At 37.0% G+C, this 12,160-nt stretch overlaps 1 protein-coding gene and 1 non-coding gene across 5 annotated transcripts in view; both read right to left on the bottom strand.

Moving 5' to 3' along the window:
* The window catches only part of PDHX (pyruvate dehydrogenase complex component X), an 80,209-nt gene that overhangs the window by 50,609 nt on the left and 17,440 nt on the right, over window positions 1-12,160 (bottom strand). The window lies entirely within an intron of this gene.
* On the bottom strand, window positions 3,600-3,683 carry MIR1343 (microRNA 1343). The gene has a single exon (NR_039836.1). It is a non-coding gene; the product is annotated as a microRNA 1343 (primary transcript).

Below are 12,160 nucleotides of genomic sequence, written 5' to 3'. Positions count from 1 at the left end.
ATAACTGTCTAGAATTTTGTATGCTGCCAAACCATCATTTGAGAATGAAAGAGAAGTATTCTTTAGATATATAAAGGCTAGGAAATTTTACCACCTATTAAAGATCTCTTTAAAAAGCTCTTACAAGATGCAGTTCATCAAGAAGAAAAGTGGAAGCAGATGGAACCCATGGGCTATAAGAAACAAGTTATTGTGAAAATTACTAAAATGTTAACTACTAGTATTTTTAAAGTAATGTTTGAGGGTTTAAAAAGTGTAAAACTCAAACTCTAAAAAATAATAAGATAGGTAAGGAAATGTTTAGATGGTAAGGCATGCTAACAACTTTGATATATTCAGCTGGTGCAAAAGTAATTTTATTTTTACCACCTTACTTTCAAAAACCCCAATTACTTTTGCATCAACTTATAATAGGAGAAAAATACTGAATAATACTAAACTTTATTGGCAAAATTTAATTTAAAATTTAAAAACAGAAATATAATCTACAGCATTAGAAAAACAGAGGAAAAATAAGAAGTTGATTATCTAACTGAGGGCAGGCACATGGAAAGAAAAGGCAAAGGATAAAAACAAAAATGCACAAAAAATGGTAGAAATAAGTCCCCATGTATCCGTAATCACAATAAATATAAATGGATTAAAATCACCCATTAAAAGTAGAGATTATCAAAATGGATATGAAAATAAAATCTAGGTAAATGTAGCTTACAAGAGATAGCCCTAACACAAAAACAGAATAAAAAACAAGGGGATAAAAAATATGTAACATATAAATACACCTCCTCACACACCAAAAATAGCTGGAATAGCAATATTAACAGGCAAGCATCATAAGAGAATATGAAAGAAAATCTAAAACACTAAATTAACAAATATGCTCTGAACGTTCACAGTACAGAAAGTACTTCATTGTGTACCAAGATGATCAAATTGATAGTTATATCTTCAGGTTAAATAGTTCAGAGACACTAATATAAGTTATTTTTAAAAATAAATTGATATGTTAGATGATATTTATTTACCACCTAAAAGGTCCTTTGTCTAACTCCAAAGAGATGTCCCTAGTCAACAAACATTTATTAAAAATGTATTGGGGTGGCCAGGCGTGTAGGCTCACACCTGTAATCCCATCACTTTGGGAGGCCGAGGTGGGTGGATCACCTGAGGCCAGGGGTTCAAGACCAGCCTGGCCAACATTGTGAAACCCCGTCCCTACTAAAAATACAAAAATTAGCCAGGAGAGGTGGCAGGCACCTGTGGTCCCAGCTACTCGGGAGGTTGAGGCAGAAGAATCACTTGAACCTGGGAGAAGGGGGTTGCAGTGAGTCAAGATCATGCCATTTCACTCCAGCCTGGGCAACAAGAGCAAAAACTCTGTCTAAAAAATAATAATAATTATATAAATATATTTTATATATATATACACACACACACACATATTTGTATTATATATTTATATATTACATATAAAATATATATACATATGTAGGCACTGAGGATACAGCAGTGGACAGTAATAACAGCAAAGATTTAAGATTCCTGACCTCAAGAAGCTTGCTTAATATCCATTGACAAGTAAACTGGAAAATACAGCAGGATAAGGTGAGGTCAGGATGCTTTGGGAATGTTCAGGAGGGGCATCTAATTCAGTTTTTGTAAGGTGAGAAAAGGCTTCCTAGAATACAATGACCACCTATTCTGAGCCTGAAGAGGTGAGGAGGAGACAATCTGTAAACAGGCAGTGATCCAGGTAGAAGGTAATACACTTATAGCCCTGGAGGCAGAGAGAACAGGAAACTTCAGAGAAACTGGCAAATAGTATGCGAGAGAAGTGACGAGAGATTAGGCTGGTAAGATATGCAGGAAGAGACCAAAAATGACCTTTGTATGTCATAGAGAAAGCTACAGTGTCAGATTATATCATCTTACATACTTCTTTAAATGTTTTAGTGGTTAAAACAGATTGCACTTCAAAAGGGAAAAAAAGCACACCCTCAAAGATTTCTGCTATAATCACGGGAAAAACTATAGAACTAGTAAACCCAGCAATTAAATACCTCTTAGATGCCTAGAAAACAGACTCTAGCCACAGAAAAACAAAATGATGCTATATCATCATTTGTGTTCATCAGTATTCAAATTCCAACCACACTTTAAGAACTACAGATTCGACTTCAGCTATATAACTTTCTCTGAGTAACTTGACCTACATAATTTTGTTCATATTCCAGATTCCTATAGTAGGTCTAATTTATTTAAAAATCACAAATTGCATATAAAATGTTATATTACTGCTAATTACTTTTTTAAATTGTGATTTCCTCTATTTACTAGACTATGAGCTTCTTCACAATACGGACAGGACACTTAAATGTTTTATATTCCCATCCCCATTCCTCAGGTTTCATGGCCAATGCACCATACCCAATGAATTTTAGATTAAAATGCTTTAGAAAAAAACATGATAACTTCACGAATCCTTATTTCCTCATAAGGTATACATCAAATTATCTTTTACATTTCTTTTGCTTCTAACATTTGATTTGTAGCATGCTTCTGATATTTAAAAAGATAGCCTTTTTTTCTTTTTTAAAAAACTATATCTATTCACATAACACAGACATATATGTTAGCTAGATGAGAATGCCAAGGGAGAGGGTAGAAGAGAAAAGCAGGAGGAGAGAGAAGGAAAAAAGGAGAGGACAAAAGAGAGGGAGGTAGGGAAAAGAAACACAGAACACTTTACCAATAAATCACAGGGAAGTTTTAAAAACATAGTAATATTACGTATGGAAGCATTACCCCTAACTCATCACAAAACCAAAGTTCTATCTTTCAATAATCAAACATCATGTAAATGCCAAAAGAAAACTCTGAGAGCAAATAATGAGCCATGAATATTTCAAATCTACTGAGTTTCAGCTGTGATCAAAAATTTAGTGCTATAACTTAGAAAGACTCCTTGGCAGAGTAGTTACAAGGAACCTCTCCTAATTCAAATATGAGTTTGATTCCAAGCTCTGACAGTTACTAGTGATCTTGACCAAGTTACTTAATCTCTCTGACTCTCAGGAAAATTTTAAATGTATAGATATATATTTTTTAAGTCATGGGGCTGGAAGTGTTAATGCTTCACATACATCTTTATGTAACACTTTACAACATCTCTAGGTAAAAATAAAATGTTAGCTATACAACCATTTTGAATCAAGACACATTTATTCCATATTCTGTCATGTCTACCTGAATCAAGATACGGTTTTTTTCCATATTCTGTCATTTCTACCAGAATCAGGACACATTTATTCCATATTCTGTCATTTCTACCAGATCATCCAACAAACATTAATGTATAAGGCACTGTACTAAGCACTGGGTATGAAAACAACAAAAAGAGAAGGTTCTGTCCACAAAGAGTTTAAAGTGGAGAAGAGTGGAAAAGACTCAGCAGCTAGGATAGAGGGTCCTGGACAGCGTGAGATGACAGATGGCTTCTCAGCTGTCAGGTTCATAGCTGACTGATTGAAGAAAGAGATGGCAGCCCTGGAGTGTTCCTGCACCATCTTCTCGTGGTCCATGGCAGTGGCGGAAGAGGAGCGGGCCCAGAGCGAGAGTGCGGGCCCCAGGAGGGGCCAGAGCAGAGGCCCACCCGGGGGCCGCTCCCCAGCACCGACGCCAGCATCATCGTCCTGTTCCTTTGTCCGATGGGCAGCTGCCAGAGCTGAGGACTGAAGTATACGGAGGCTTCCCTTTCTCTTTTTAAATTCTAGATATTAAGCATAGCCTTGGTCAAACACAGTTAATGGTGATGTTTATTTTATTAATAGAATAAGTCCTGAGGCTTTCACAAAATAATTTTGTTCTGCCAAAAATTAAGAATAAAAGTCTTTACGTAAAAGATGTGTGTGGTGGTGGTGGTGGAAGAGAGCTAGTTTTTATCTGTAAGACCAAGTTATCAGATTAACATGAACATTAAAGAAAAATTCCTCTTCTTAGTGCTATGTTGAACCATAATGATAACAATAATCAGAAACAAAAATAATTCAATTGTTGACTCTACAAGTATTTACTAGCTGCCCATGTGAATGACACTGTGTGCGACACTATGATAAAAATAGTAATAAAATAAGACAGAACTGCTTCAAGAAGTTCCTAATCTGATTGAAGAACAGTACAACAAGCAGGCAATGACAATCCCATCCAATTAGTACCTACAGCAGAATGGGAATGTAGAGGAGGGACCCCTAGTCAGTGTTTGTCATCCCTTTTCACTTCACACACACACAAAGAAGGATAATATTTGCATGGCCAAAGACCTGAGGCAACCTGGTTGCTAGGCCAGTTGAGGTCCTGCCCTATGGGGTGAAGGCATGAGTAGGAGAGTTTGAGAAGGGCCCAGTTAGACAAGGTCAACCACCCACACATCCCTCTGGCTTCTTAAAGTCTAGTAGCTACTGTATTCGACAGTTTAACACAGAACATTTCCATCACCACAGAAACTTCTATTGAATAAAACTATAATCTATAATTCCATTCACTAATTTAAAAATTCTGATATAATACAAAGATTTAGCAATAAATGTAAAAACGCATAATGATGGAATATAATTTAGTAACAAAAGGAATGAACAGCTGATAAATGCTACAACATGGATGAACCTTAATCATGCTAAATCTGAAAAAATCTAGTCACAAAAGACCAAACATTACATGCTTCTATTTATATGAAACATAGACAAAAGGCAAAACTTTAGAGACAAAAAACAGATCCGGATTGTCTAGGGATAGAGATGGGAGGAAAAAAATGACTGCAATCAGGCAGCAGGGATCTTTTTTGGGGTGACAGAAATGTGTTCTAAAACTGGATTGTGGTGATGGCTGCACAACTCCATATATTTATTAAAAATCATTGAATACTTAAAATAGGTAAATGTTATGGTATGTAAATTATACCTCAATAAAGCTGTGAAAACCATAGTACACCAAAAAAAGGAAGCTATTTGTGAAATGGACTTTTCAAAATTTTCCATTTTAGCACCACAAACATATACATATTGCCAGAAATAACGGAACCAAAGTGTCTTCTATAGTAGAATCCAGAGACCCATATAACTCTCTAGTGGCATCTAGTGATATAGGATAAGGCTTTCTTCAAAATGGTTTTATTTCTGAATTTTATACAGTAACAGTATATTAGACAAAAACTATTTGAAATACAAAAAAATCCCTTGTCTCATGACATAAGGAATACCGCAGCAACAAGCACCACTGTTAAGCATGCTTACTACGTACATTCTAGGCACTGTGGGTGTGGCTAAGTGCTTGATGGAATTATCTTAGCCTGGTTTTGTTCCATAGTGCTTCACGGCAGAGCAGAAAAATCTCAAATATTCTGAGGAAAAAAAACAAGGTTTTTCATAACCTCAAATATTCTCTTACAAAAGGAGAACAAGAATTTTTTTTCCTTTCTGTTATTTTAACAGATTTGACAGTTCAATTGATGAAAAAATAAACTAGGTGCAGTTTAAACTGAAAATATCTGAAGCACATGCCCCCTCCAAATAAAAAACTTGTAATAAAAATGCCAAATGATAGCTCAATTGACCTTTCAAAAGATTTTGAAATTGTGGGTGTTACCTAGCACTTTCAGAGCATTTTCTGTACTAATTTTATGATATATAAGGTTTTAGTCAATCCTCAGACTGAAATGAAGTACTCTAATAGTCATTATAAAACTTATTTTCTTAGAATCATGAGTTCAACAAAGACGGAAATAATTTATATGCTATAATACTGCATATTTCAGTTACTTAAAAAAAGAAAATAAAAATGAGTTATCATAGAATTATAAATCCAGGATATTCCGTACCTTAGATTTCAGCTAGTTCAACTCACTCCCAGGTAGTTCATGGCAGAGGAGGAACCCCAAAGGAAAAACCATGATTCCTGGGCCAGAGTTTTTTCTTTGCACCCTTACCTCCTTGGTGTAAAACGCTGCGCGCATGCAAGTGCACACACACACACACACACACACACACACACACACACCATTAGTAAAAGAAGCTGTGAATCAGTCTCAGATCTTTGAAAAAACTTAATGGTTTTTAAGACTGAACTGCTGTCCATTGAATGTTCTCAAATACTTATCTAGTCTTCGCTTAGAAGTAAACTAGATTCATAATTCGATGCAACACTATCATTTTTCATGAAAAATATCAATTTTCTTAATGCATAAAGGTTTAAACTCATTGTTTTATGGTGACCATACATTTAAAAAGATCTCAAAAATCAAACAAACAAAAAACAGTTAATAAGAGAAAAAATATATGAAAAGTATGCTGTCAGAATATAAATTTGTTTTTAATATAAAATGAATGGAGCAAGTTATCATAAATGTACCAAGAACCAGGCATACTTAAACATATATTGACACCCATGTATACAGTAAATAAGTGTTAATGAAAAGCAGCCAATTATACTCAAAAGATCACAAATCACAAAGGTGATGAGCTTCAAAAAGAAGCCAGTGAACCACTAAGAACCAAGGATTAAGATTGCTCTCAATTATTTACTGTGTTTTGGCAAAAACAAATTTCCCTTCAGTTGGCAGAACACAGAATTTTAAGAGCAACCTTCAGGGAAACATGCTCCAGGGACTTAAAATACATCCTGGCCTGTCCTACATGAAAATAGCATATTGTAATCAAAAGGAAAAAAGAACAGAATAATGAGACCATATGTCTGCTGGCTCTTTATCTTACTGCTCATATTCTAACGGGTGTGAATAACTTATTAGATTGCCAGTGAGCTGGAAGTCTGAAAGATAAATGTGGCCCAAGAATCCCCTCATCTGCTTACCTATAAATTCTCAAAGTGTGAAGAAAGTTAATCTTTTTAAAATAATCCCTAAAAGACTGTTCTGTGTCTGAATCATTATTTAATGACACCAACACCCTGTCATATCGAATATGGAAATAGCCAAAGCTCTGTAATTCATCAGAGAAAAGAAACCTAAAAACACATTCCAACTGATTACATTATTTATAAAGGTAAAACTTTCTTAGATACTGACAATTATTTTAAAAGATAGCAGCAGCCATGCAGAGCCAATTGCTCTAAATGCTTTCCAATGGGGTACTGGCTCTTTCATTTACATTACACATATCTTTCTTAAATTCTAGAAAATTCTCTGCCATGTTTTTCTTTGAAAATTACCTCTTCCCATTTCCCTCTTTTTTTCTTCTTCTGAAATTCCTATTGGGTTATTGAATAATTTTCATTTTACCCTTCATATGTCAACTTCTCTTTCATATTTTCCAGTGCTGTCTCTATGTGCTACATGCAACCTAACTTCCTCTAGTCGTCCTTCTGTTCACAAATTCTTCATTCAGTCCTGTCTAATCACACTTCAGCCCACCCTTGAGGTTTGGGGGGTTTTAATTTGAGAGACTATATTTTTCATTACTAGAAGTTCTGTTTATCCTTTTCAAATCTGCCTGGACTTTTGTAATTCCAATTAACTGAAGTTCTTGGGATCCAGTCCTGCTGCTTGTTATGCCTACTGACTTCACTCCTAAAAGACTTCTTCCACATACGTTATTAAATGTGGGATTGTGACTTTTGGTGAGACTTTATCTGCAAATTCTGTATGGTTTGGATTAGAAGCTGTATTCTTCCAGAATAATGGCTTCTACCAGGTAACCCAGGGAGGCGATCAGCCCAGGACAACTTCACTTCTATCTGTGGGTTCCCAGAAAATGCAAGTTCTATAAATTTGACCCTCAGGAGGACTCTTTAGGGGAGTAGGCATTCTTATTCCATATAGATTCAAAATCATTTTGCCTGTTATCACATGGCATTAAATTCCATCCACATGCTGATGACTCTCAAATTTCTGTCTCCAAGTCAGACTTCACTCCTGAACTTCAACTCCTATAATCAGTTATCTATTGAACACCTTCCCTTGAATGCCTCATATGCATTTCAAATCTTACCATATTCAAATTTTAATCTGATTCTTGATTTCCCTTCCTTGCTCCTTCCACCCACCCCGCCACCAAAAAAAAAAAAAAAAGTCAGCAACTCCAGCCTTCCAGCTCAGCCCTAGTGGTGCACATGGCCTCAACTCCCATTCACCACTCCAGATGTGGGGACACTTGGTGATTTCCTTTCTCTGCATTCCAGCACCACTTAACATTGAAAAGATTTACTTATAATATTATATCCGATAGAGAGCAGATGCTTTACCCCATCTGTTTAGATTATCACATTGATTAGGAGTTCTCAGTGTTGGCTTTTCAAATGAGAGCAGGAAAAGGAGGCTACTTTAAATTGCCTACAGTTATCTCCTCATACCAGGTTACTCTTAGGGTCTGTTCCTTTCAACGCAATGCTACTAATAGGGCTCAGAAAAGTATGTAGAAACCACTTCCTGCCCAGGCACAGTGGCTCACGCCTATAATCCCGGCACTTTGGGAGGCCAAGGTGGGCAGATCACTTGAGGTCAGAAATTCGAGACCAGCCAACATGGTGAAACCTTGTCTCTACTAAAAACATAAAAATTAGCTGGGCATGGTGGTGCTCGCCTGTAGTCCCAGCTACTTGGGAGGCTGAGGCACAAGACTCACGTGAACCTGGGAGGTGGAGGTTGCAGTGAGCAAGATCGGGCCACTGCACTACAGCCTGGGTGACAGAGTGAGACTCTGTCTCAGAAAAAAAAAAAAAAAAAAAAAAGAAAAGAAAAGAAACCACTTCCTATTAAGAAACCATGAATGTGGATCTATTTTGGCTTTAGGATAAGGACCCTCACAGACTGATAAACTGCAGATTGGCATTCAAGATCCTTCCAATAATCTATCTGATCTTACAGCCATTATGTCCCCAATGCAGCCAGACCTACCTGCTGTTGCAAAAGTATGTCTCAGTGACATCTTTCTTCCAAGAGTTTACCCATGTTTTTCTAGCTGGAATGTCCTTCTCATTATTTTTAAAAAGCCCATTTATTCTACAAGGACCAGTTCAAATACTACCTCATCTGCAAAGCCTTCTTGGATCCCTGTCATGTACCCTGCTTTTGGCTTACTTTCCCCTCTGCCATTACCTTTACTAACTGACCACTTACAGCACTGCAGTTCTATTCCAATTACGATGTTAGTCATTATGGGAAGCACAAACATGAACAAACTCAGACATATTCCCCACTGAGGAACAGAATTAAGTAATATGCCCAAACAGACTTGGTTGGGTCTATCAAGGACCAGTAATGTTCATTTGGATAACCTCACTGCACCATACCTCCTAACCTCCATAGTGGCTCAACCCACAGCAATTTTTCTTGCCTTTCCTTACACCCCAGACTCCCTCAAAGAAGTGAGGCCTTGCTTGTCCCAAACTCCCCAGCTCATTTGGCTAGTGTTCTCAAGTAAATACTTGTTAGCCCTCTTCCTGATCCCCACATCTGTCATTAGTGGCAAAAGTGATGCTATGAAAGGCTAGACCTTCTAGAATCACAACACAGCTCTTCCAGACTCTGGTGTCCTGCCCACTGCCTAAACTCTTTTGATACTATTTTACAAGCACTAGACTGGACCACTCAATACCAACATTTGTATGAGTGACATCTGTGCCTACTAAATCACATTAGGATACCCTGGAAGTCCTTGCCAGGGCTAGTCTCTGGAATTAGACAAGTCCTCCCCAGACCATGTTATTCATTCTCTACTTGCACTTCCCTTCTTTCTTTCCCTTTTTAACACTTGATTCACCATTGCTCCAGATGACGCATAATAATGGCTGTGGGGGACTCATTCAGTCACCTCTAATTTCTCTATTTTTCTGTCTAACAATCCCTAATAGGTACTGTAGACTCATCCTCTTTCCTCCACAATAGTTTAACCTGATACAGAATGAATCAAGCACAGAGAAAGACAGCTACATAGGGTGCTAAAAGAGGTTATCCAGTGGCCAATACCTGGAGGGGAGACTCTACCACCACACATGGCAAAGGAAAAAGGGGAAAAGAAAAGGAAAAGAAAGTAGCTGCCAGAAAAACAAAAAGCCCAGCTTCCTTCACATTAACTGTTCCTCTATCCTTCTGTATAAGCACTGTAACATACTCACCTCTTTTATTCATAGTCTTTATTTTCTAAGCACCATATTAGGTACTTAAAATCTGGCAAAATGGTTGCCAGAAACAGTGACATAATACAGCTTTATAGATGGTATTGTATCAAATATTCTCTTAATAATATCAACATTCCAATTCATCTGGTACTAGTTTCTCATCTCAAATTATATCCTGAAAGCACTATGCACAACCTTTAAAAAATATATTAAAAAAATTTATATATAAAAAATAAATTTTGAATTATACAAAAGTGGTAAGGAAAGGCAATGAAGCCACATATACCTTTTACCTCACTTATACAACTGCCAAGTGATTCATGACCGATCTTGTTTCAGTTATACCCCTCCCTACCCTCTCAACCTCAACCAGGGTTATTCTGAAGCTAATCCCAGAGATACTGTCATTTTATTCGTAAGTATTTCATCTCACATCTCTTATAGGTGAGATTTTTTTTTTTTAATAATCAAAATATAACCAAAATATTATTAAACCTTTAAAATTAATAATTCCTATGCTGGGTGCGGTGGCTTATGCCTGTAATCCTAGCACTTTGGGAGGTCGAGGCAGGAGAATCACTTGAGCCCAGGAGTTCAAAACCAGCGTGGGCAACACAGGGAGACCCTGTCTCTAAAAAAATACAAAAAACTAACCAGGCATGGTGGCGCATGCCTGTGGTCCCAGCTACTCAAGAGGCTTAGGTGGGAGAATCACCCTGAGCCCAGGAGGCTGAGGCTGTAGTGAGCAGAGATCGCGCCATTATACTCCAGGCTGGGCAACAGAGTGAGACCATGTCTCAAAAAAAAAAAAAAAAAAAAAAAATCCATAATATCATTAAATATCCAGCCAGTTTTCAAATGTCCGCATGTGTTTTGTTTGCTTGAATCATAATTAAAATTAGGTCCATACATTGGCACTGGTCTCAAATCTCTTGTATGCTATAGGTTCCCCCACCTTCCTCCCCCGGGCTCTTCCCTACCACCCTGAAATTTATTGGTTGAAGAAACTGGCATACAGAATTCCTCAGTCTAGCTTTTGCTGATATACTTCTCATGGTGTCATTGAACACGTTATATTTTCCCCTGTATTTCCTGGAAAATGATAGAGCTACAGGCTTGAACATATTTGGTTCAATTTTCTGGCAAGACTACTTCACAGTGGGAAACATGTAATATCTGGTTATCTCTCTTTTTGTGATGTTAGCAGCTATTAATGATCACTGGCTATACTATTTTACCAGAGATTGCAAAATGGCAATACAGTGATGTTCTATGATTCTTCTATCTTTTAACAACTGTGATATGCTAATAATGAGAAACTTCTCATCAATTACTTGGTTACTCAGAGCTACGGTTCATATAGCAGAAGAGGTAGAGAAAAATGCTTGAGTCTTTCCATTTATTACGTTTTCAAAATGAGTTAATTTCTTAGCACCCTCTAAAGCTAACCAATTATTATTAATTTTTTTTCTTTAGTATTACTGTGAACTTAGGATTCAAATATATTTAATGTATTGAAATATATTAAATATATTATCCTTATTATCCTTAGTGATCCTCAAACTATCTCATCTCTGGCTCCTGAGTCCTTTAAGATGCCCTCAGGAGTTTCTGACAGCTTCCTTGCTTTCTGAACTGACAAGATATTAAAAGCTCATCTGCACATCTCCTGCCCTAGGCCTGCAAGTAGCTACTCTCCAAGGAGCCTTCATTTACTTTAGTGGGAACTGATATTTAGAGACAGTCTGGGTTCTAGGGGTGCTTACTGCGACTGGATTGGTCCTTGTTTCCAGGCATTGCCAGGGGAAAGAGCTAGAAAATTTACCATCACAGGGTCGTTCCTAACCTTAGAAACTTTTACCTGTTTCTCCTTTAAACTACACTAAAAGTCCAAGTTTCCAATGATATTATCTTAACCAGTCATTTGCTTTATCCCATAAAATACACACAAAAGCCTTAGAATAACAATACCAACATAACAAGCATAATACGATTACTCTAACAGTTGAGGATTATACTTTTGGAGACGCTTTAT

This window comes from Homo sapiens, chromosome 11 (genome assembly GCF_000001405.40).
Source record: "Homo sapiens chromosome 11, GRCh38.p14 Primary Assembly".
NCBI lineage: Eukaryota > Metazoa > Chordata > Mammalia > Primates > Hominidae > Homo > Homo sapiens.
Note: the sequence above shows the minus strand (reverse complement) of the source record. Positions and strands in the feature narration are given on the sequence as shown.